Genomic DNA, 26,638 nt, shown 5'->3' with positions numbered 1-26,638 from the left:
TTTGCACTTATATTTGTGGTGTTTTATGCATTCTAAGATGTCTATTTTTTCATATTTGAACATACCTGAAACTGGGATGCTTCTTTGAATTGATGGACTCAAAATCCATGTTGGGTAGGTGGTGGTTTTGATGGAGTTGTTATCTGTGCATGTGTGAATGTGGTCATAATGTCAAAGTTTAATTGAGTTATATGCACTTCAGGTATTCTGATGATTCCCAAATCCTATGATTTAGGCTTAGAAGGATAAGTAATATATACTCATCTATCTACATGAGAGGCATGGGGCAGAACAGTGGAATATATGATACAGATATCCAAAAAATGAAATCTAATTGATAAAAAAGCATTATGTCTTAGTTTAATTGGCAGCCTTTTTGCTTCTAGGGATATATAAATAGTAAACTTATATCATATAATGATGGTGCTTTGGATTCATTCATATTTGGATTCAAAATATTGATGCTGCAGTATTTTATTTTGAGTAATTTGAATGGGATGACTTATGACTTAATGGAAATTTTAAGAAAGCCTGTTTATGGAAGGTGGATCAAAAGTCATACTTTTAGTGATAGATTCTGTCAAGGGATACTTTTAAAGAAAGGTTAAAATCATGTCTTTTATTCAAATGTAAAAAGAATGGGTATCAAAGACTTTATTAAGCTCATTAATTAATGAGGGGATCAGTAAGATGTTACAAATAATTCAAAGGAGAATTTTAAGAGCACACATATATGGGCAATCAAGGATGCTGAAATGAATGTGAAACAGACGCAAAACTGGTTAATAGCCACAGGCCAATTATCCATTTCATTTCACTGGACACAATTTATTTGCATTTTTATGGAAAAGAATTGTTTGTATTATTCTGTGTCTTACAACTGCATGGTTGTAAAGTAGCAGAAAGACAATGTGAGGCTCATATTCTGACTGACTCAGATAATCTGGAAGGGTATACTAGATAGGACATCCACTAATATTTTGCATATTTCAGTGTTTCACAATTTTCCTGACAAATCTTAAAGTTTAGAAGTTTTCCTGATAGACTTTGTATCAAATTTTAATTTCATGGGAAGGATTTCATTCAGACCATGCTAGAAAGATGATTACCTGATGTTTTCTTATGGTTTCTCCCTTAATCATTCATCATTCCATCTAGCTGTGTTAGAGTGTTAATGGTTTTGAATTTCTCATTTATATCTTTGGGTCAGTAAATTGAATTTAATCCAGATTATATTTTTGGGTAAAGAGAAACTTAAAAAAAAGCTTTAAAACTAAGGGATCTACAAACACTTATTGATTATATACTTTATAAAAGCCCATCTAATTAAAATAAATTATCTCAATAATTCTTAATAATGAAACTATAAAAATTATAAGAAGAATCTTAGGAATATTTTTTAGTAATTTTTTTTGAAATGATACACAGGAAATATTAATGAAATTAGCTATATTTGAGTGGGTCTTTGTATTTAATTCCTTTTATACTTCCTTTAGTGAGTTGAGAATGAATAGTTTCCCATTTTTTAATGGGGTTAATCGCTTAAATATGGAGAAATGGAAAATTAAATGTATTTGATGGAGAGCAGAATCAAAGCTATGATCACAAAATATATACTTTTTCAAAATTAAAATAAAAAATTTTAACTTTATTTTTACCCATGAATTTTGACTGAGAATAAGTTGTCACTTGATGAGCCACGTGTGGTGGCCTGCACCTGTGGTCCCAGCTATTCTGGAGGCAGAGATGGAGGATTACTTGAGACCTTCAAGTTGAGGCTTCAGTTAGTTGCGATCGCATCACTGCACTCCAGCCTAGCTGACAAAGCAAGACCCCATCTCTAATAAAAAACAAAAACCAAAAACCCTCAAAAAGTCCAAAGTTTTTTATATGGTTTCAATTCACTGTTAGAAAGTTGTCTCACAATGCTTTGATGATGTATTAAATATATGAATGCATGAAGTTCTTACTGAGCATGCAGATACAGTTATTTAAGTGTTATGTGTATCAGCTGGGTGAGGTATATTTTTGAGACGTAACCCTTTACATTTGAAAGTCTGGTATTTAATTTGGCTAAACTTCCCAAACCATAGGGAAATACTCATTGATCCATTAACTTATTCAGCAAATATTTATTGAGTGCTTATTATAAGGCAATCATTTTATAAATGCATTTTATTTTAGGGATCTTTCTCTTGCCACAAATAAAATAACAGGAAGGATTGAGTTTTGCCGTGTTAGAGTGATTCTTGGGTTGGATCAAGACATTGGTGAGGGATAACCAGACAATTACCTGGACTTCCCAAAATCATCCTTCAGTCTTTTTACTTTCCTGTCACTGACTCCCTATTAACCATAAAGATGATCTCTCGGTTTCATCCTCTTCTATTGGTAGCATGTATCTTTACATGTGCTTAATCAGTTTAAAGCAAGTTACCGATATCAAACAATGCTCCAATGATACCGATATGAAACAATGCTCCAATTTACAATGAATACTTTAAAAATGACACTTAAATTTGTTAAATAGCTTCACAAATGCGTCTCTCAATCTGTTTCTAACGGGCTTTTGTGAAGGTTTTTGAAGGGCCGTGCTGATCAGTGGAAAATCAGAAGAGGGAATCTGCTGTCATAGTGGGGAGAAGGCATCAAGGAAAATGTACACAGCAAATAATTAAGGTGGTAAATGTATACAAGAGGTATTCAAGGCAGGAAACTGCGAAGACACTGCCTAAATAAGAGTGAAGAAGCAAGCTATACAGTGGGATGCCATAAAAATGAGGTCAGCTACGAACAGAAGTATTATCTGGGTTTCAATGAAGGCTGCAGTGTGCACAGATTACTTCCAGTTGTAGCAATGGACACTTATCTATGATAATGACACGAAGATTAGAAAAATCACATGCAATTAGAATCGGAACAACATGTAGTTTAGGTAGTGCTACCTCAGGTGGGGAGTTTGATACTGGTAAAGTAATAGTTTATTTATTCAGTAGAGCTCCTACTATGTGTCAGACACTGTTCTAGGTATTTGAGATTGGCCAGTGAACAAAATGATGTAGATCCCTGCCCTTTTGAAGCTTACTTTCTAGCAACAAGTGACATAATAGGTATAGTAAATATGTACATTTTTTTGTTAGGAGATAAGTACTATAGAAAAGAGTACTGTAAAGAGGATCAGGAGTGTTGGAGGAGATTATAGTAGATTGCTGTATTAAATAGAGTAATAATTTGCTTTTGAATTGGAGAGCTATAGCAACCTGCTCCTTAGTTTTATTTCCTCTACCTTGCGACTTCAGAGAATTGGAAGTTGGACCTCCCCACAGAGATTTAGTGGCAGAGGAACAGGAAGTCAACGGATGTGTATTTTTCAAGATTGTAATAAAATTTGGATAGTTCACTCATGATCTTCTCTTTGTCCTTTAATTTCTTTTTTATTCAGCAGTAGAAAATGATAAAAACATGTTACTGGAAAATGGGCTGCAAATTATCAGAGTTCTAAAACAGAGATATATAATTTATTGGAAATAAATCTTACTTATGAAGGATTTTGGTAGCATTTGAGTCATGTGCTTCATAGGAATCTCAGGACAATTTTGTGTAACTATGGTTTGCTTAGGGAATTCTAAGTTTTATCTACTTTTCAAAAGACCAGTGTAATCAATGTTTCTTTGGCAAAACTCTATATATCTTGACAGCTTGTTAAAATAATAGTTAGCTTCTGGCTTTCAATTTCACATATGGAGACTGTATCATAAATTGCTTTACTAAACCTGATGCATATGTATAGTCATGGTAGATTATACAAGATTGTTGCTGATAAAAACTAAAGTAAGGCTCAAAATTAGACTATAAACCTGCATCTTGATTAATATGTAACTGTTACTAGAAAAACATAAGTCTAAAGTATTTCATGTATCACTGAATAATGTAATGTCTCCAATAGATACTACACTGAAGGACAGTAGGAAGGGAGATACCTTCCCCAGCCTTACTGCCCTTCAGTGACCAGAATTGTTTCAAGTCTGTGTGGAAAGGCACTATTAATTTTTTATTCCCTATGACCTGTGTATCTTCTCTTATCTTCTACTTAATCCTTTCTTTTAAAAAAGTATATATTGATTTCTTGCATATGCTTCTAGTGATATATCGAGAGAAAACGTAGGATTTCTTTGTTTGAAAGGGTTTCTTCCTTTCCTAATAAATCATTTTGCCTTGCCTTCTCTCTGCTTTTTTCCTTTATTCTCTTGTTCTTCCCTGTTCTTTTTTTTTTTTTTTAATTATACTTTAAGTTTTAGGGTACATGTGCACATTGTGCAGGTTAGTTACATATGTATACATGTGCCATGCTGGTGCGCTGCACCCCCTAACTCGTCATCTAGCATTAGGTATATCTCCCAATGCTATCCCTCCCCCCTCCCCCCTCCCCACCACAGTCCCCAGAGTGTGATATTCCCCTTCCTGTGTCCATGTGATCTCATTGTTCAATTCCCACCTATGAGTGAGAATATGCAGTGTTTGGTTTTTTGTTCTTGCGATAGTTTACTGAGAATGATGGTTTCCAATTTCATCCATGTCCCTACAAAGGACATGAACTCATCATTTTTTATGGCTGCATAGTATTCCATGGTGTATATGTGCCACATTTTCTTAATCTAGTCTATCATTCTTGGACATTTGGGTTGGTTCCAAGTCTTTGCTATTGTGAATAATGCCGCAATAAACATACGTGTGCATGTGTCTTTATAGCAGCATGATTTATAGTCATTTGGGGGTATATACCCAGTAATGGGATGGCTGGGTCAAATGGTATTTCTAGTTCTAGATCCCTGAGAAATCGCCACACTGACTTCCACAATGGTTGAACTAGTTTACAGTCCCACCAACAGTGTAAAAGTGTTCCTATTTCTCCACATCCTCTCCAGCACCTGTTGTTTCCTGACTTTTTAATGATCGCCATTCTAACTGGTGTGAGATGATATCTCATGGTGGTTTTGATTTGCATTTCTCTGATGGCCAGTGATGATGAGCATTTTTTCATGTGTTTTTTGGCTGCATAAATGTCTTCTTTTGAGAAGTGCCTGTTCATGTCCCTCGCCCACTTTTTGATGGGGTTGTTTGTTTTTTTCTTGTAAATTTGTTTGAGTTCATTGTAGATTCTGGATATTAGCCCTTTGTCAGATGAGTAGGTTGTGAAAATTTTCTCCCATGTTGTAGGTTGCCTGTTCAGTCTGATGGTAGTTTCTTTTGCTGTGCAGAAGCTCTTTAGTTTAATTAGATCCCATTTGTCAATTTTGGCTTTGGTTGCCATTGCTTTTGGTGTTTTGGACATGAAGTCCTTGCCCACGCCTATGTCCTGAATGGTAATGCCTAGGTTTTCTTCTAGGGTTTTTATGGTTTTAGGTCTAACGTTTAAATCTTTAATCCATCTTGAATTGATTTTTGTATAAGGTGTAAGGAAGGGATCCAGTTTCAGCTTTCTACATATGGCTAGCCAGTTTTCCCAGCACCGTTTATTAAATAGGGAATCCTTTCCCCATTGCTTGTTTTTGTCAGGTTTGTCAAAGATCAGATAGTTGTAGGTATGCGGCGTTATTTGAGGGCTCTGTTCTGTTCCATTGATCTATATCTCTGTTTTGGTACCAGTACCATGCTGTTTTGGTTACTGTAGCCTTGTAGTATAGTTTGAAGTCATGTAGTGTGATGCCTCCAGCTTTGTTCTTTTGGCTTAGGATTGACCTGGCGATGCGGGCTCTTTTTTGGTTCCATATGAACTTTAAAGTAGTTTTTTCCAATTCTGTGAAGAAAGTCATTGGTAGCTTGATGGGGGTGGCATTGAATCTGTAAATTACCTTGGGCAGTATGGCCATTTTCACAATATTGATTCTTCCTACCCATGAGCATGGAATGTTCTTCCATTTGTTTGTATCCTCCTTTATTTCCTTGAGCAGTGGTTTGTAGTTCTCCTTGAAGAGGTGCTTCACATCCCTTGTAAGTTGGATTCCTAGGTATTTTATTCTCTTTGAAGCAATTGTGAATGGGAGTTCACTCATGATTTGGCTCTCTGTTTGTCTGTTGTTGGTGTATAGGAATGCTTGTGATTCTTGTACATTGATTTTGTATCCTGAGACTTTGCTGAAGTTGCTTATCAGCTTAAGGAGATTTTGGGCTGAGACGATGGGGTTTTCTAGATAAACAATCATGTCGTCTGCAAACAGGGACAATTTGACTTCCTCTTTTCCTAATTGAATACCCTTTATTTCCTTCTCCTGCCTGATTGCCCTGGCCAGAACTTCCAACACTATGTTGAATAGGAGTGGTGAGAGAGGGCATCCCTGTGTTGTGCCAGTTTTCAAAGGGAATGCTTCCAGTTTTTGCCCATTCAGTATGATATTGGCTGTGGGTTTGTCATAGATAGCTCTTATTATTTTGAAATACGTCCCATCAATACCTAATTTATTGAGAGTTTTTAGCATGAAGGGTTGTTGAATTTTGTCAAAGGCTTTTTCTGCATCTATTGAGATAATCATGTGGTTTTTGTCTTTGGCTCTGTTTATATGCTGGATTACATTTATTGATTTGCGTATATTGAACCAGCCTTGCATCCCAGGGATGAAGCCCACTTGATCATGGTGGATAAGCTTTTTGATGTGCTGCTGAATTCGGTTTGCCAGTATTTTATTGAGGATTTTTGCATCAATGTTCATCAAGGATATTGGTCTAAAATTCTCTTTTTTTGTTGTGTCTCTGCCCGGCTTTGGTATCAGAATGATGCTGGCCTCATAAAATGAGTTAGGGAGGATTCCCTCTTTTTCTATTGATTGGGATAGTTTCAGAAGGAATGGTACCAGTTCCTCCTTGTACCTCTGGTAGAATTCGGCTGTGAATCCATCTGGTCCTGGACTCTTTTTGGTTGGTAAACTATTGATTATTGCCACAATTTTAGCTCCTGTTATTGGTCTATTCAGAGATTCAACTTCTTCCTGGTTTAGTCTTGGGAGAGTGTATGTGTCGAGGAATGTATCCATTTCTTCTAGATTTTCTAGTTTATTTGCGTAGAGGTGTCTGTAGTATTCTCTGATGGTAGTTTGTATTTCTGTGGGATCGGTGGTGATATCCCCTTTATCATTTTTTATTGTGTCTATTTGATTCTTCTCTCTTTTTTTCTTTATTAGTCTTGCTAGCGGTCTATCAATTTTGTTGATCCTTTCAAAAAACCAGCTCCTGGATTCATTGATTTTTTGAAGGGTTTTTTGTGTCTCTATTTCCTTGAGTTCTGCTCTGATTTTAGTTATTTCTTGCCTTCTGCTAGCTTTTGAATGTGTTTGCTCTTGCTTTTCTAGTTCTTTTAATTGTGATGTTAGGGTGTCAATTTTGGATCTTTCCTGCTTTCTCTTGTGGGCATTTAGTGCTATAAATTTCCCTCTACACACTGCTTTGAATGTGTCCCAGAGATTCTGGTATGTTGTGTCTTTGTTCTCGTTGGTTTCAAAGAACATCTTTATTTCTGCCTTCATTTCGTTATGTACCCAGTAGTCATTCAGGAGCAGGTTGTTCAGTTTCCATGTAGTTGAGCGGCTTTTAGTGAGGTTCTTAATCCTGAGTTCTAGTTTGATTGCACTGTGGTCTGAGAGATAGTTTGTTATAATTTCTGTTCTTTTACATTTGCTGAGGAGAGCTTTACTTCCAACTATGTGGTCAATTTTGGAATAGGTGTGGTGTGGTGCTGAAAAAAATGTATATTCTGTTGATTTGGGGTGGAGAGTTCTGTAGATGTCTATTAGGTCCGCTTGGTGCAGAGCTGAGTTCAATTCCTGGGTATCCTTGTTGACTTTCTGTCTCGTTCATCTGTCTAATGTTGACAGTGGGGTGTTAAAGTCTCCCATTATTAATGTGTGGGAGTCTAAGTCTCTTTGTAGGTCACTCACGACTTGCTTTATGAATCTGGGTGCTCCTGTATTGGGTGCATATATATTTAGGATAGTTAGCTCTTCTTGTTGAATTGATCCCTTTACCATTATGTAATGGCCTTCTTTGTCTCTTTTGATCTTTGTTGGTTTAAAGTCTGTTTTATCAGAGACTAGGATTGCAACCCCTGCCTTTTTTTGTTTTCCATTTGCTTGGTAGATCTTCTTCCATCCTTTTATTTTGAGCCTATGTGTGTCTCTGCACGTGAGATGGGTTTCCTGAATGCAGCACACTGATGGGTCTTGACTCTTTATCCAACTTGCCAGTCTGTGTCTTTTAATTGGAGAATTTAGTCCATTTACATTTAAAGTTAATATTGTTATGTGTGAATTTGATCCTGTCATTATGATGTTAGCTGGTGATTTCGTTCCTTAGTTGATGCAGTTTCTTCCTAGTCTCGATGGTCTTTACATTTTGGCATGATTTTGCAGCGGCTGGTACCGGTTGTTCCTTTCCATGTTTAGCGCTTCCTTCAGGAGCTCTTTTAGGGCAGGCCTGGTGGTGACAAAATCTCTCAGCATTTGCTTGTCTGTAAAGTATTTTATTTCTCCTTCACTTATGAAGCTTAGTTTGGCTGGATATGAAATTCTGAGTTGAAAATTCTTTTCTTTAAGAATGTTGAATATTGGCCCCCACTCTCTTCTGGCTTGTAGGGTTTCTGTCGAGAGATCCGCTGTTAGTCTGATGGGCTTCCCTTTGAGGGTAATCCGACCTTTCTCTCTGGCTGCCCTTAACATTTTTTCCTTCATTTCAACTTTGGTGAATCTGACAATTATGTGTCTTGGAGTTGCTCTTCTCGAGGAGTATCTTTGTGGCGTTCTCTGTATTTCCTGAATCTGAACGTCGGCCTGCCTTGCTAGATTGGGGAAGTTCTCCTGGATAATATCCTGCAGAGTGTTTTCCAACTTGGTTCCATTCTCCGCATCACTTTCAGGTACACCAATCAGACGTAGATTTGGTCTTTTCACATAGTCCCATATTTCTTGGAGGCTTTGCTCATTTCTTTTTATTCTTTTTTCTCTAAACTTCCCTTCTCGCTTCATTTCATTCGTTTCATCTTCCATTGCTGATACCCTTTCTTCCAGTTGATCGCATCGGCTCCTGAGGCTTCTGCATTCTTCACGTAGTTCTCGAGCCTTGGTTTTCAGCTCCATCAGCTCCTTTAAGCATTTCTCTGTATTGGTTATTCTAGTTATACATTCTTCTAAATTTTTTTCAAAGTTTTCAACTTCTTTGCCTTTGCTTTGAATGTCCTCCCGTAGCTCAGAGTAATTTGATCGTCTGAAGCGTTCCTCTCTTAGCTCATCGAAATCATTCTCCATCCAGTTTTGTTCCGTTGCTGGTGAGGAACTGCGTTCCTTTGGAGGAGGAGAGGCGCTCTGTGTTTTAGAGTTTCCAGTTTTTCTGTTCTGTTTTTTCTCCATCTTTGTGGTTTTATCTACTTTTGGTCTTTGATGATGGTGATGTACAGATGGGTTTTCGGTGTGGATGTCCTTTCTGTTTGTTAGTTTTTCTTCTAACAGACAGGACCCTCAGCTGCAGGTCTGTTGGAATACCCTGCCGTGTGAGGTGTCAGTGTGCCCCTGCTGGGGGCTGCCTCCCAGTTAGGCTGCTCGGGGGTCAGGGGTCAGGGACCCACTTGAGGAGGCAGTCTGCCTGTTCTCAGATCTCCAGCTGTGTGCTGGGAGAACCACTGCTCTCTTCAAAGCTGTCAGACAGGGACATTTAAGTCTGCAGAGGTTACTGCTGTCTTTTTGTTTGTCTGTGCCCTGCCCCCAGAGGTGGAGCCTACAGAGGCAGGCAGGCCTCCTTGAGCTGTGGCGGGCTCCACCCAGTTTGAGCTTCCAGGCTGCTTTGTTTACCTAAGCAAGCCTGGGCAATGGCGGGCGCCCCTCCCCCAGCCTTGCTGCCGCCTTGCAGTTTGATCTCAGACTGCTGTGCTAGCAATCAGCGAGATTCCGTGGGCGTAGGACCCTCCGAGCCAGGTGTGGGATACAGTCTCGTGGTGCGCCGTTTCTTAAGCCGGTCTGAAAAGCGCAATATTCGGGTGGGAGTGACCCGATTTTCCAGGTGCGTCCATCACCCCTTTCTTTGACTAGGAAAGGGAACTCCCTGACCCCTTGCGCTTCCCAGGTGAGGCAATGCCTCGCCCTGCTTCGGCTCACGCACGGTGCGCGCACCCACTGGCCTGCGCCCACTGTCTGGCACTCCCTAGTGAGATGAACCCGGTACCTCAGATGGAAATGCAGAAATCACCCGTCTTCTGCGTCACTCACGCTGGGAGCTGTAGACCGGAGCTGTTCCTATTCGGCCATCTTGGCTCCTCCTCTTCCCTGTTCTTTAATTAATCCCATTTCCCAATCTCCGCCCTTTTAGCACTCCATAAAAGGGATCATGTAATCTGAAACCTAGAACGTTAGAATATATTTGAGAATGCCCATGTCTTAGAGAACGTGCTTGAATTCTAATTCTCCATTAGTCCTTTAAAGTTTCGTTATTCTCAGTCTTCACATTTATACTTCTTTATTATTCATCATGATCTTGTATGATTTTGTTCCTTTGAAGGCCAAACCAGTTTAAACTTATGTATGTATGTATGTATGTATGTATGTTTGTGTCTATTTTTTTTTCATTCTTCTAGGAAAGGGGGAATAAATTGCTAGGAAGGAGTAAAGATGGTAAGATGTTTTCTGACTTGGGGAGCTGGTCCTCACTTAAGCTGAGAGCACCTGTAGTGGAAAAATATATGAGATTTCATTTTTTTTTGGCTCCCCACAGTTTGTCTGCCCAAAACAATGTCCTGCAGTGTTCTTGGGGATGTGTAAGAGCACGACTTTTTTTTCCCTATAAATCTAGAGAAGGATAATTGTGAGAAGAGAGATGGGAAAGGATATCATACTTGAGAGGCACTTTCTCACATAGGTCATTTTTAGGAAAAATTTTTATGGACGTTTAGATCTAGCAATTGATTTCCTTAAATATATTTATATGCCTAGCTGTTTCTTAGAAAAATCTTCTAAGGCTCAACATTAGACTATAAACCTGCATCTTGATTAATATATAACTGTTACAAGAAAAACGTAAGTCTAAAGTATTTCATGTATCACTGAATAATGTAATGTCTCCAATAGATATTATGCTGAAGGACAGTAGGAAGGGACAGACCTTCCTACTGTAATTAGAGGGGCATATCTACTCCAATTTGAAGACCACTGCATTATGCCATATAGTTTCTGTTCTTGCTTATCATTTTTGCTCTCTTACTTCTTTGTTTTAGGTATATTCATTATCATCAGGGTTAACAGTGTCCTGTTGTTTATTTTCTGAGTGTAGGAAGTATATAAATTTTGTCTGTATGGCTGGATTTGATGGTTAAATACTTGATAAAGATGTAGCAGTAGAAGCGATGAGGAAAATGAAGAGAAGGAGAATGAAGAAAAGTAAAAAATAATTTAAAAAAATTCAACACTTATTTGCAGGCACTTAACAATGCTAGACGCTGTTATAATCACTATAAATATTAAATCTTTATTTAGTCCTATTTGTACCCCTAGAGGCACTTACTGTTATTATCCCCATTTTATAGATAAGAAAATTATGGCACTGAGAGGTTAAGAAACTTGTCCAAGCTTGTAAGTGGTGGAAGCAGAATTTGAACCAAGCAGTCTTACTCTAGAAAGAGCCTTAGCCACTGTGCCATCTTTCTTGTTATGTGCATGTGTGTGCATATACATATACATCTATGTGAACATATTCACCAATGCATTAGCTGAGCTAGACCATAAATATATGTATCAGCGGATACATGAATATGCACAATATTTTAAACCCTCAGAAAAAGGACAATGTAATTAATGAAGAAAAACATGAAGGATATGAGAATGGGGAAAATAGAAAAAAAGTAACAACCTTATTTCTCTCAAGTGACAAAGTGATTTTTTAAAAATAGAAACACAACATTTAAAGATACTTTCATAGCAAGCCTATACTTTTAATATTTTGTGATATTTGCAGAGAAATAATTTTAAAATCTATTTAAACATTTTTCACCTTTTGAAATTATATACCCTGTGAAGATGCACATACTGTATGCTTTACAGTTCAGTTTTCACATATAATAATGCCACCTAAACTTTTCCTTCCTTCTAATAGATAAAAAATCAAATTCCTTCTTTTTTAACTTTCCACCCCTTTCACTGTGGCTGTAGAGAAAAAAAATTGAAAATACACTAAGTTTAAAGATACTTAGTGATCCCCACATTTAAAAATAGGAAGAAGAATGAGTGGTAGCTGAACATATTTGAATTAATATAATAGTTTCCGATATTTTAATAATTGCACCTTTTCAGTGTTGTGTCAAAACATTTGAAAAAATGGATTCTGAAGTCCTTCTGGGATATTTTGAGGAGAGTTCTGTTCTGTGCAGTCTGGACTGGGAAGAAATGTAAAGCAGCACACTAGGATGTCCCCATATTTAGAACTCTTCAGAGGAGACTTGATAAATGTTTGAGCTCTTTGTGCTTAGCTGCACCAAGCTGCTTCAAGCTTACTAGGCATTCTGGAAATTAAGTTGATTTTGGGTCAAAGAGTGACTGTGATTTTATCCTCCTCTGCATCCTTAACCAGCCCACTCAGTTTTCCTTCTCTTAAGACAGTGGTCGTAGTACTCCAGTTGTCTTTAAAGTAGCAAGTTCCTTTGATAGGCTTGTAAAATAACTTATTGCATTTGAAAATTTGGATTACTGTATTGAACAGAGGTATAAGTAATTAACAGAGAAATTATTGTCTCTGATATATCATGTAGCCATGTGTGAATTACCTTTTTGGAGCTTTATTTTCTCATTTTTAAAATGAAGGGGATTGAATGAGATAACCTTAAAACCTTCATCTTAAAAAACATAAAATCAACCTATGCTATTATGTGTGTGTATTTTTACTAATTTATCTTTGAAGTTTGTGATACATGCTCTGGAAAGAAAAACTCAAATGAAAAATCCTCAGTATGTCTGAAGCGAAGGTGAAACTGAGAGATTCTAGATGGTTGTATGAGGCCTGTGTTCCACTTTGGTGTTATCCCTGTCAACATAGAGGCTTTTTTTCTGTTCTGTTTAAATGGTATTTGTAACTAGGTCCAAACCAGCTCAATTTGGATTTTTTATTCACAGTACTTGCTGTGAAGTGGCAATTAACTATATGGGCAAATTTAATCTTAAAACCACTTACTCTCCTGTGATTTACAAAGGACCTCGTAACAGAGAATTGTAGAAAATTCTATTAGTGTATGTATTTAACATTATAGTATCATGTGCTTTATTAGCTGCATCCAGTACTAGTTTATTTGTACCAGAGTGTTTTTTTTGTTAGTTGTTGTCACATTTGAGGTACCTATACAGACATATTGCGGTTGACACTTCGGCCTTCTCATTAGCACAGACCATTTTCTGAAGGTTTGAGATGTATCTTGTAGCCATCTTTGATATGATGGCTGATTTCAGGGTGATTTCATTCAATATTCTGGCATTGATGAAAGTTTATATAGGGAGCAAAGGGTCATGAAAGGGGTAAAATCCAGTATTTGGAAGGTCTAGAAAATCATTCAACTGTAAATGATGAAGTTCTCAAGTACATGTCTCTATAGCTACTTCCAATGATTGAAATGGCAAATAACCTGGAATAGTTTTTGGCTATAACTTCCTACAGTTCCACTAAGGAAGTAGAACTATACTTAGTGTAGTTACACTGAGACTATTGTGAGATTGATTTGTGGAGCATGGTAAGTGGCTCCCAAAAAGGAATCCCTACTTTGCAGTGAACGCTTAACTGTATGGCTTTGGACATTCCTCTGATAAATATTTCAGACTATATTACCTGCAGAGCTTTTTTTTTTGAGATGGAGTCTCGCTCTGTCAGCAGGCTGGAGTACCACTGGCATGATCTCTGCTCACTGCAATCTCCGCTTCCTGGGTTCAAGCGATTCTCTTGCCTCAGCCTCCTGAGAAGCTGGGATAACAGGCACGCACCACCACACCCAGCTAATTTTTGTATTTTTAGTAGAGACAGGGTTTCACCATGTTGGCCAGGGTGGTCTCGATCTACTGACCTTGTGATCTGCCCGCCTTGGCCTCCCAAAGTGCTGGGATTACAGGTGTGAGCCACAGTGCCCGGACTACTTGCAGAGCTTTTCATGTGAGTTTTACACTGTCTTATTTTCCAGTTAGTTGTATACAAGAACACTTTTTTAAAAAATTGTGTTTCATCTCATTGCACTTTGCAGATACTGTGTTTTCTTTTTTTTTTTTTTTTAACAAGTTGAAGGTTTGTGCCAGCTCTGTGTCAAGGAAGTCCGTTGGGACCATTTTTTCAACACCATGTGCTCACTTCATGTCTCTGTGTTACATTGGTAATTTTCACAATATTTCAAACTTTTTTGTTATTATATCTGCTATGATTATCATAATCAGTGATTTTTGATGTCACCATTGTAACTGTTTTGAGGCACCATGACCCACACTCATATAACATGCCCGACCTAATCAGTAAGTGCTAGGTTCTGACTTGACTTCACCTCCACCGACCTGCAGTTCCTCCATCTCTCTCCCTCCCCTTGGGCTTACCTATTCCCTGAGACACAACAATATTGAAATTCGGCCAATTAATAACCCTACAATGGCAAGTGTGCAAGTAAAAGGAAGAGTTGCATGTCTCTCACTTTAAATCAAAAGCTAGAAATTATTCAGCTTAGTGAGGAGGGCGTGTTGAAAGCCTAGATAGGCTGAAAGGTAGGCCTCTTGTGCTGAACAGTTAGCCAGGTTGTGAATGCAAAGCAAAAGTATTTGAATGAAGTGAAAAATGCTACTCCAGTGAATAAATGGATGATGAGAAAGTGAAATAGCCTTATTGCTGTTATGGAGAAAGTTTTAGTGGTTGGACAGAAGATTAAGCCACAAAATTCTCTTAAGCCAAAGCTTAATGTAGAGCAAGGGCCTGACTTCCTTCAATTCTATGAAGGTTGAGAAAGGTGAGGAAGCTTCAGAAGAAAAGTTTGAAGCTAGCAGAGCTGAGTTCATGAGGCTTAAGGAAAGAAACCACTTTCATAACATGTAAGTACAAAGTGAAGCAGCAAGTGCTGATGTAGAAGCTGCAGCAAGTTACCTAGAAGATCCAGCTAAGATAATTGACAAAGGCGCCTACACTACACAGCAGATTTTTAAGCTAGACGAAACAGCTTTATATAGGAAGAAGATACCATCTAGGAGTTCTCTAGCTACAGAGGAGAGGTCAGTGCATGGCTTCAAAGTTTTGAAGGACAGTCTGACTTTGTTGTTAGGGGCTAATGTAGCTGTTCACTTTAAGTTGAAGCCAATGGTCCTTGACCACTCTGAAAATCCTAGGCCCCTTAAGCATTATGCTGAATATGCTCTGACTGTGCTCTATAAATGGAACAACAAAGCCTAGATGATAGCACATCTGTTCATAGCATAGATTGTGGAATATTTTAGGCTCATTCTTGAGACCTACTGCTCAGAAGCAAAGAATCCTTCCAAAATATTACTGCTCATTGATAATGCACCTGGTCACCCAAGAGCTCTGATGGAGATGTACAAGGCGATCAGTGTTTTCCTGCTTGCTAACAATATCCATCCTGTTGCTCAAGGATCACGGAATAATTTTGGCTTTCTAGTCTTATTACTTAAGAAGTACATTTGTTAGGCTATAGCTGCCATAGATAACGATTCCTCTGATGGATCTAGTCAAATTAAGTTGAAAATTTCCTGAAAAGGATTCACCATTCTAGATGCCATTAAGAACTGATTCATGGGATTTGTGATTCATGATTCATGGGAGGAGGTCAAAATACCAACATGAACAGCAGTTTGGAAGAAGTTGATCCTTTGAGGGTTTTAAGACTTCAGGGGAAGAAGTAACTGCAGATGTGGTGGAAACAGTAAAACAGTTTGAATTAGAAGTGGAGTCAGAAGATTTGATTGAATTGCTACAATCTTGTGATAAATCTTGAACGGATGAGGAGGTGCTTCTTATGGATCAGCAAAGAAAGTAGTTTCTTGAGATGGAATCTATGCCTGGTGAAGATGCTATGAACATTGTTGAAACAACCACAAAGGATTTGGAATATCCCATAAACTTAGGTGGTAAAGCAGTGACAGGGTTTTAAAGGACTGACCCTAATTTTGAAAGAAGTTTTACTGTGGGTAAAATGCAATCAAACAGCAATGCATGCTACAGAGAAATCTTTCATGAAGAGAAGAGCCAATTGATGCAGCAAGCTTCATTGTCTTGTTTTAAGAAATTGCCACAACTACCTCACTCTTCAGCAACCACCACCCTGGTCAGTCAGCAGCCATCAACATTGAGGCAAGACACTTCCACAGCTAAAAGATTACAACTTGCCAAAGGCTCAGATGATCATTAGCATTTTTTTAGCAATGAAGTATTTTAAAAATAAAGTGTGTACTTTTTTTTCCATAATGCAATTGCACATCTAATAGATTACAGTTCAGTGTAAATGTAACTTTTATATACACTGTGAAACCAAAAAATTCGTGTGACTCACTTTATTGAGGTGATCTGGAACTGAACCTATGGTATCTCCACTGGTGTGTGTACCTCTGAGGTCTTTCCTTGATGTAATGTGTGAGTACCAGTTTCCCCTGCCTAGATCTTCAGGACTAGAATTGCAGCTTTGAGAAGGTATGAGAGCACTGGAGGGGAAGCTTGAGACTGGGCCACTAGAATTGTGGAGTAGAGATTGGAAGGGAGGATTGGAAAGAGCCATTTCTGAGAAGCAGAGATGAAGGGATTAGCCGTGGAGTAGATGAGTGAAATAGCTAAGCAAGGATGTAAACTTCAGGGAGAAGCATTTCCAGAGGATAGCTGGATGCTGGGGTATAAGACAGAATGATTTGTAGTAGTATGTCCCTGGTGTAGTCAAGGAAGGGCTGATTCTAACTGCTGGACCCCGGCTTGATTTCACATTGTGTCCACATTCTTTTGTTGCCAAGTAATGTTGTCATTTGCATGCAAAGTTCCTCTGAGGCAAGAAGTGTTTCCTAGTCATTTTTATCCTATTAGTGTCCAGCACATAGTAGACAAAACTTTGTTGAATTTTAGTTCATATTTGTGAAGACCTGTATATTTAAATTCAAGATACTTGACAAATGGAGATTGGAAGTTGTAATTTCTTTTTTAAGAGATTGTGTTAGGGGTGTAGAATGAGAGGGCTGTGTTTAGTAACTGATAGTCTTACTGGTCAACATCTATCTTCTGGGAAGAAGCGTGACTAATCCTACACATTCCTTTCACATTGGCTTTCTCTGCTTTCTTTTGCCTATCAGCTTTGTCCAGATTGTAAACAATAACCTAGAAGAGAAAGGTTTTATATTTCATTATCATTTCTTCTAACAACACAGCTTTGTGTGAATAAGACAATATCAAGTAGATTGTTTACCTTGAATTAAATTTCCCAGGAAACAGTTCTAGCATTTAACTTTGATTAAAAGTGAATTTTTGTTCTCTAGAGGATTGTCAGAAGTTGTTATAAAAAGAGCTATGTTTGGAAACAGTGGGTGTGGGACTCCTGAATATAATAGTAATTTAAACTCAGAGGTTTTTCATAAAAATCTTCTTTTTTTAATAAAAAAGAGATGACAGTTTATAAAAAAATGTAGTTCTATAATTTTAGATGTTTAAGAACATAAAAATGGATTACATTAATGATATATAGATTTACAGTATTCTTTGAGACTGTCAGCATGTTATTTTAAAAATAATTGATATGTGTCTAATAGTAAACAATTTAGTATTTTTGGTGAAAAATACTTTAAAAATTTACTGCTATTATAATTCATTCATATTGGCCTTTAATAGGTAACTCCGTTGAGTTGGTTTCTGCCTCAGAAATATTTTGCTGTTATAGATTTCATGGAATAGCAAAGAGCAAATAATTTGTACATGCTTGTGTAACATAATGTTAAAGAATATTTAGGAATTGAAAATGTTGAGGAACAGCTTTTCCTGGCATGCATGCCTAGAGAGGGTTTGCATCACCACTAGGGAGGACACAGAACTGTTAAGATCTCTGGCGTTTTATTACATGTCTGATAATTATTTGTTCACAGCCAGACCTACCATATTCAGTTCTGCAGGTTGTGCACTGCATAACTGTAATGATATTCACATGTGTAAAACCTACACATTTGTATGTAGTGACTCTGGGTTTTGAACAAGATAAAAAAATTTCTTAAGGAGTTTACATTCCAGTGGGCCAGACAGATAATCAATAAATAAGATAGGAATATATCAGATAAAAATAGATACCATACATTGTAAGGTGAAAGCGGCCAGATGGCTGGTTTAGAAGAAATAGTAAAATGAAAAGAACTGGTAATTTAAAAAATAAAATCTTTTATAAATGGTATAATTAAAATTATTTTACATATATTTCTAGACGTTATCGTTTTTGCGTTTTGTTGCTAAAGATAGTCTGACACAGTTATTTGTTTTCACTTTGGGTTTTTAAAAACTGTGATAGCAGTGGGATGCATTAATTTATTTTTTTTGAGATGTAGTTTCGCTCTTGTTGCCCAGTCTGTGGGGCAATGGGCGTGATCTCGGCTCAGTGCAACCTCTGTCTCCCGGGTTCAAGCGATTCTCTTGCCTCAGCCTCCTGAGTAGCTGGGATTACAGGCATGTGGCATGTTGCCTGGTTAATTTTGTATTTTTAGTAGAGATGGGGTTTTTCCACGTTGGTCAGGCTGGTCTCGAACTCATGACCTCAGGTGATCCACCCGCCTTGGCCTCCCAAAGTGCTGGGATTACAGGCACGAGCCACCGTGTCTGGCTGTGGATGTATTTTTTTAAAGATATATTTTGACTGATTTTCATTAAAAAAGAATAAGTGCGTTATATACAGTTTGGATGTTTGTCTGCTCCAAATCTCATGTTGAAATATAACCCCCAATGATGAAGGTAGGGGAGGTGGTTGGGTCATGGGGGCGGATCCCTAATGAAAAGCTTATTGCGTTCCTCATGATAATGAGTGAGTTCTTGCTCTAAGTTCATGCAAAATCTGTTTGTCTAAAAGAGTGTGGCACCTCTCCACTCTTGCTTGCTCTCTTGCCATACCTGCACCCCCTTCACCTTCTGCCATGACTGGAAACTTCCTCAGGCCCTCACCAGGAGCAGATGCTAGCAATCTGCTTCCTGTACAGCCTGTAGAACTGTAAGCCAAAATAAACCTCTTCTTTATAAATTACCCAGTCTGAGGTATTGCTTTATAGCAGTGCAAACAGATTAACACAGTGCAGTTTTGTCTAATGACCTAATGTTAGATTCTTTGAGTTTAACTTAGTGACAGTATTACAAGTATAATAAAATATTTAGGGCTTAAAAATTTTTGGGTTACTTTATTTTGATTTTTTACATAATGAGAAAAAATGTTTAAAAAGTATTCATATATGTGTGGGGTGTGTGTGTGTGTGTGTATGTGTGTGTGTAAGAAAAAAAGACTTGGGAGACAAGTCCGTACTGTCTTACTTAAGAATACATTTTTATGTAAGTTTTCTAGTTTATGAAATATTATGCTGAGAAATTTTGTTTTTGTATTTATACATTGTTTGGTTAAAAGTATACCTTTTTAGAGTGTAGTGTATTTCCTTCCAGCCCAATGTCATTTTTTTTTGTAAACAAAGCTTTTCCATGTTGCCTGTTGGTTTTTATGTTTAATATCCTAATGGATTTTAAATAGAGGGCCAAGTGGATATGACATAATTTATGTAATAAATCCTTTATTTTAATATTTTTTGCTTTTTCTGGAGTCTTACTGGACAGGTTCTCCTGTCCAGCCTCCGCCATTGGACTGCCCAGTACATATGTTCCCTTAATAAACTCTGTTGTCTCTTTTACTAATTCTGGGTCTCTTCTTTGGCCTCTCAAACATAGTGCCATCTAATTGAAGTCCACAGAGGTCTGGCAGGACACCTGGTATGCATGGCAATAAGTTGAAGAAAATCCCATGAGTGCCAAGATGATGGGATTGGGAGAGAGGAAGTATGCGGAGGAAATTCTAGGCTGGCTGTCTACATCTATAGGGGGTCTGATAGCTGCTATCCTTGATGAATGGGGCCCACTGCAGGAGTATAGGGATGCCCCCAAAACACTGAAGGGTCTGGAAGAACTGTTGCCCGGGGTGGATCTAACTAAATGAAAGTGAGATGCCCAAGCTGTGGCAGCTGTGATTGGCTGGCTGCTTCTATAATTTGTAGCTCATAGTTTTTTTTCCTGTATTTTGGGATATTAAAATCGCTTGTCCAATTGTGAATTTCTTTAAAAATATATTTAGTGGGGACAAGTGCAGGTTTCTTACATGTGTATATTACATAGTGGTGTAGTCTTGGCATTTAGTGTGCCCATCACCTGAATAGTGAACATTGCACCCAATAGGTAATTTTTAAACCCTTACCCACCTCCCACCCTCCCACCTTTTGGAGTCTGCAGTGTCCATTGTTCCACTCTGTATGTCCATGTGTACTCATTGTTTAGCCTCCATTTATAAGTGAGAATATGAAGTATTTGACTTTGTGAGTTATTTTACTAAGGTAATGGCCTCCAGTTCTATCCATGTTGCTGCCAAGGACATTATTTCATTCTTTTTTATGACTGCATAGTATTCTAAGTTGTATATATACCACATTTTCTTTATGAAATCCTCCATTGATGGACATTTAGGTTGATTCCATACCTTTGCTATTGTGACTAGTGCAGTGATAAAGATATAATTTCAAGCATCTTTTTAATATGATGATTTCTTCCCTTTGGATAGATACCCAGAAGTGTGATCAGTATATCTAATGGTAGTTTCACTTTTAATTCTTTGAGAAATCTCCATACAGTTTTCTATAGAGCTTGTACTAATTTACATTTTTACCAATAGTTTATAAGTGTTCACTTATCTGCATCCTTGCCAACATCTATTGTTTTTAGGATTTTTAATAGTAGCCATTCTGACTGGTGAAAGATGGTATGAGAAATGTATGATTGTGCTTCTAATTTGAATTTCTCTGATGAATAGTGATGGTGAGCATTTTTCACCTTGTGTCATGACTGGCTGCTTGTTGGCTGCTTGTTTGTCTTCTTTTGAAAAATGGCTGTTCAGCCAGGCACAGTGGCTCATGCTTGTAAATCCCAGCACTTTGGGAGGCCGAGGCGGGTGGATCACCGGAGGTCAAGAGTTTGAGACCAGCCTGACCAACATGTTAAAACCCTGTCTCTACTAAAAATACAAAAATTAGCTGGGCATGGTGGAAGGCGCCTGTAATCCCAGCTGTAATCCTGGGTGGGAGGCTGAGGCAGGAGAATCTCTTGAATCCAAGAGGTGGAGGTTGCAGTGAGCCAAGATTGCGCCACTGCACTCCATCCTGTGCAACAGAGTGAGAGTCTGTCTCAAAAACAATAAAACAAAAAAACAAAAAACAAACAAGACAAAAAAACAAAAAGAAAAATGACTGTTCATGTCCTTTGCCCACTTTTTAATGGGGTTATTTTTTTTTTTTCTTGTGGAAAACATTCTGTAGTTTGTCTGTTTACTCTGCTGATTGTGATTCTTTTGCTGTGCAGAAGCTTTTTACTGTATTTAATCCTCATTTGTCTATTTTTGTTTTTGTTGCATTGGCTTTTGAGGACTTGGTCATAAAATCATTGCCTAATCCAAAGACCAGAACATAAGACTTTGTGACAGGTATGGGTCCACTTTCATTCTTCTGCATATGGCTAGGCTATTCAGTTTTCACAGCACTATGTATTAAATAGGATAGAACTTTTTCAGTGTATATTTTTGTTGACTTTGTTGAAGATTAGTTAGTTATATGTATGTGGCATTGTTTCTGGGTTCTCTATTCTATACCATGGACCTGTCTACTTTTATACCTGTACCATGCTGTTTTGGTTCCTGTAGCCTCGTAGTATAATTTAAAGTCAGGTAATGTGATGCCTCCAACATTGTTCTTTCTGCTTAGGATTGCTGTGGCTATTTGGGGTCTTTTTTGTTTCCATATGAATTTTAGGATTGTTTTCTCTAATTCTGTGAAAAATGATGTTAGTAATTTAATAGGGATTGTGTTGAACCTGTAGATTGCTCCATGTAGTATGGTCATTTTTAACAATATTATTTCTTCCATTCTATGGTTATGGGATTTTTAAAAATTTGGTTGTGTCATCTACACTTTCTTTCATCAGTATTTTGTAGTTCTTCTTAAAGAGATGATATGGTTTTGTTCTGTGTCCCCACCCAAATCTCACCTTGAATTATAATATCCTCACGTTTCAAGGGCAAGACAGGTGGAGCTAATTGAATCGTGGGGTCTGATATGGTTTGGCTCTGTGTCCCCACCCAAATCTCATCTTGAATTGTACTCCCATAATTCCCATGTGTTGTAGGAAGGACATGGTGGGAGACAATTGAATTATGGGAGCAGTTTCACTCATGATTCAGTTCTCATTGTAGTGAATAACTCTCACAGGATCTGATGGTTTGATAAGGGGTTTCTGCTTTCATGTCTTCCTCATCATTTCTCTCCTTGCCTGCTGCCATCCGTGTAAGATGGGACTTGTTCTTCCTTGCCTTCCACCATGATTGTGAGGCTTCCCCAGCCATGTTGACCTGTAAGTCCAATTAAATCTCTTTCTTTTGTAAATTGCCCAGTCTAGGGTATGTCTTTATCAGCAGTGTGAAAACGGACTAATACTGGGGTGGTTTCCCCCATGCTGTTCTCGTGATAGTGAGTGAGTTCTCATGAGATAAGCATCTGGCATTTCCCCTTCTGGCACTCATTCTGTCTCCTGCTGCCATGTGAAGAGGTGTCTTCTGCCATGATTGTAAGTATCCTGAGGCCTCCCCAGACATGCAGAACTGTGAGCCAATTGAACCTCTTTTCTTTATAAATTACCCAGTGTCAGGTTTCTTCATAGCAGCATGAGAATTGACTAATACAACAGATAGTTCACCTTCTTTGTTAAATATATTCCCAGGTGTGTTTTTTTTTTTCTTTTTTTTTGTAGCTGTTGGAAGTGGGATTGCCTCCTTGATTTGGTTCTTGGCTAGGTCGTTACTGGTGTATAGAAATGCTACTGATTTCTGTATATTAATTTTGTATCCTGAAACTTTACTGAATTCATTTATCAAATCTAAGGTTTTTTTGGTGGAATCTTTAGGGTTCTCTAGATACTAGATCTTATCATCAGTGAAGAGGCATCCAATTTGGATGCCTTTGAATATTTTCTCTTGCCTGATTGCTCTAGTGAGAACTTCCAGTATGATATTGAGTAAGAGTGGTGAAAGTGGGAATTCTTGTCCTTTTCCAGTTCTCAGAGGAAATGCTTTCAACTTTTCCATATTAAGTAAAATGTTGGCTGTGGGTTTGTCATATATGGCCTTTATTATGTTGAAGTATGTTCCTTCTATACCTAGTTTGTTGAGGATTTTTATCACGAAGCCATGCTGAATTTTACTGAAGGCATTTTCTGCATCTGTTGAGATGATCATATGGGTTTTGTCCTTAATTCTGTTTATGCAATGTATCACATTTATTAATTTGTGTCTTTTGAACCATCCTTGCTTCCCTAGGATAAATCCCACCTGATCATGGTGTTCCAGCTAATCTTGCTTCACTGACACCATTTGTTTAAGGAAAACTCTCTCTAACTGTGTTTTTCCTCTACTCTAACACCACAACAATCATCAACACAGAAGACTGCTGTGACCATATGTGTGGGGTTTTTTTTCCCCCACACTCCAAGCAGCAGACACCAGCTGGGTGTCCTCTAATTCAGTCCTGACACTACCTACCTGGAGATAGTGTCAGATCCCACAGGTTTAGGGCATAGTTCCCAAGACTGCACCTTTCCCTATTCCTCCTCTACCAGTCTCAAGTCTAGGTCTCTGGAACTTCTGATGAACTGGCTTCAAGTTGCAGTTCCCATGACCCCCTCTTTGGGTTCAATTAATTTACTGGAGTGGTTTACCAAATATGAATTTCTGAGTACTAACTTTTTGTTTTCCAAAGAATACAATTTTTTTTTTAAATCTGAGGAAAGTTTGGAAAAAGTATAAATATCTTAAAATAGAAATTAGGAAAGGTTTGACTTCATTGTTTTTCCAATTCTTAGACATTCAGCAAAGGTCTCAACTAGAAACAACAACAACAGCAACAACAACAAAAGCCATTACTTCTGAAAGAGAAATTATACTTCTATGACTTTTTTATAAAGTTTAGAATTAGAGCTTTTGGTAGGGTTTTGGTAAAGTTTGATGGAGGCCACTTGAACTCTAGGAAATTGTTTCTTCTTTTGTGATCTTCAATTATTTCTACCACATTTTTGTGGCCCTAACCACCCTCTTTTTTGTTTTAATATGCATTATGGACCTATCCACCCAAATATTAGACTTAAAAAATTATATAATTGAAGATAAAGTTGGCTGGAAAAAACCTGTGTGATCTTGCATTCTGCACATGCATATTTTTTGGCTGCCTATGTTGGGCGGGTGTTAGGGTACCATGATCCTTGCTTATAGAGTTTATAGATTAATAAAAGGAATGTGTAAAATACTTTATTATGTATGAGAAAACTGAGACCAAGCAAACTGACTTGCTCATGAGCGTACAACAATTTCTCTTTACACTGACTAGTGAAATACTGGGAAAGTCCGAAGTTCATTAATGATGGGTATTATTGTACCACAGGTTGCATTTTCTCTCTTAATTTATCTGGATTTTGTTATCTAACAAAAGATCTATAAATCCTGGGCATATGCCACGGAGGTACTGCAAGTATGATACCTATTACTGAGATGGAGACCTTTTGTGGTCAAGATAAAAAAGGGCACAGTGTATTTAACTTTTTTGTGAGACAGAGTCTCACTCTTTTGCCTAGGCTGGAGTGCAGTGGCGTGATCTTGGCTCACTGCAATCTCTGTCTCCTAGGTTCAAGCGATTCTCATGCCTCAGCCTCCCGAGTAGCTGGCCCTACAGGCACTCACCACCACGTCTGACTAATTTTTGTATTTTTAGTAGAAATGGGGTTTTGCCATGTTGTCCAGGCTGGTCTCGAACTGCTGACCTCAAGTGATCCACCTCCCTTGGGCTTCCAAAGTTATGGGATTACAGATGTCAGCCACCATGCCCAGCCTATATTTAACTTTAATAGTGTCTTTTGTCTATTTCTCTCCCTGGGTAAAAGAGAAAACAATAAAAATATTCATGAACTGGTATAGGTTCTTATTTTGTGCACCCAGCATCCAAGACAATATTTGAGTGTACTACTTAGATCTCCTAAAAAGGCTTACTTTTAAAAAGATTAATAGTTTAAAATAGTTATCACACCACTTTTCTAAGTGATTGCTTATATTTGCCCTGCTTAATTAAGTAAGGATTTTGGTTTGAGGATGGAGAGTCTGATAAATCAAGGAAATACAATAATTTTATTTATAATTATTTATCTCTTTTTAGGCTAACAGGATTATATAGTCTCAGAACTATAGATCTATTATAAATTTAGATTTTTGAAAAGAAGTTAAAGAAGGCTAAAAGGCATACTTGATGACATTTTTAGCTTTTCCTAAAAATGTATAAATTTATATGCTTTTTATTTTTTTACCAGGAAGGAAAATAATAATATTCTGTTACTTTTAGATTCCATAGCTGTAGTTGTCAGACATATTTCAGTTAGGTTATTCAGGAGGCATATTGTAGAAATTGTGAAAAAATTCAAACGTATTTCTTTACTTTGTTATTAATTTTCAATATTCCTTACCTTATGTATTCTCTAATTTTGCTCTTTTCCCAATTTTAATATTATAATAAGAATTTCAAATAGGACTTTGTAATTTATGAGATAAAACCAGATGGATGAGAGGATGAGTATCTTAAGAATATGATGCATTTCCTTATGTTTGTTTTGTATACATGTGGCAATAGCCACTGAAAGGGAACTAAACTACATTATGATCATTCTTGCTCAGAAACTCATGTCTAGTTGGCTAATTTTAGAGCCAAACCCTAAGCCTTCTACTTTGATTCTTATCCAAGCATACTTGCTATATAATACTGTTTGCCCTTTTCCATCTCTGATTTTGATTTTTGGGTCTGCATTTGTGAAAGTACAGGCCAATATGTCCAATAAACAAACTAGTGAAATTATTTTGCCCACATGAAAAGTGTTTGTAAAAATGTTCCCCAAAGGGATCTCTAGGAAGATACCATTTCTTCAAAATTCTTTTGCCTTTGAAAGGCAAAATTTAGTTGTGGGAGTCTCAATTTAAGAAACACAGGCTATTTTATCTGAGTTGGAGCTCAATTAGATGTGAATCTTTAAATTGTTTACTTAATTCTTCTGTGCTATTGTGAAAGGATGCTATTTCATAAATATGAAATCAGGAATTCTATGTTGATTTTTTTTTTTAAAGCTAACTTTTAGTGCCTTTATTACATAGTGGACAGGTATTATCCTGCTGTTGAATTCAGGAACCATGCCTAGCACCAGATGTGGGTGTGGAAGCTTCCCTGGTCTATGTGTGGAAAGCTTGTTTGTTTAGGCTGCCAAGCCAGAGGAGGCATCATACTTTTCACTCAGGCCTTGCCTCTTCTGCTGAAAGATGAAA

General features: G+C 37.6%; 1 protein-coding gene across 25 annotated transcripts in view, besides 2 other annotated features; it reads left to right on the top strand.

Annotated features, from left to right (window-relative positions):
• IMMP2L (inner mitochondrial membrane peptidase subunit 2) overlaps positions 1–26,638 on the top strand; it is an 899,849-nt gene that overhangs the window by 106,501 nt on the left and 766,710 nt on the right. The gene's annotated exons all lie outside the window — the stretch shown is intronic.
• Positions 9,393–10,023: an enhancer, noted in NCBI's record as "H3K27ac-H3K4me1 hESC enhancer chr7:111086025-111086655 (GRCh37/hg19 assembly coordinates)". NCBI's record gives its function as "activates a minimal SCP1, AML or CMV promoter by ChIP-STARR-seq in primed H9 embryonic stem cells {active_cell/tissue: H9 hESC(primed)}" and the evidence as "EXISTENCE:reporter gene assay evidence [ECO:0000049][PMID:30033119]".
• Positions 10,024–10,655: an enhancer, noted in NCBI's record as "H3K27ac-H3K4me1 hESC enhancer chr7:111085393-111086024 (GRCh37/hg19 assembly coordinates)". NCBI's record gives its function as "activates a minimal SCP1, AML or CMV promoter by ChIP-STARR-seq in primed H9 embryonic stem cells {active_cell/tissue: H9 hESC(primed)}" and the evidence as "EXISTENCE:reporter gene assay evidence [ECO:0000049][PMID:30033119]".

This window comes from Homo sapiens, chromosome 7 (genome assembly GCF_000001405.40).
Source record: "Homo sapiens chromosome 7, GRCh38.p14 Primary Assembly".
In the NCBI taxonomy this organism is placed as follows: domain Eukaryota; kingdom Metazoa; phylum Chordata; class Mammalia; order Primates; family Hominidae; genus Homo; species Homo sapiens.
This window is presented reverse-complemented; position numbering and strand designations above follow the sequence as displayed.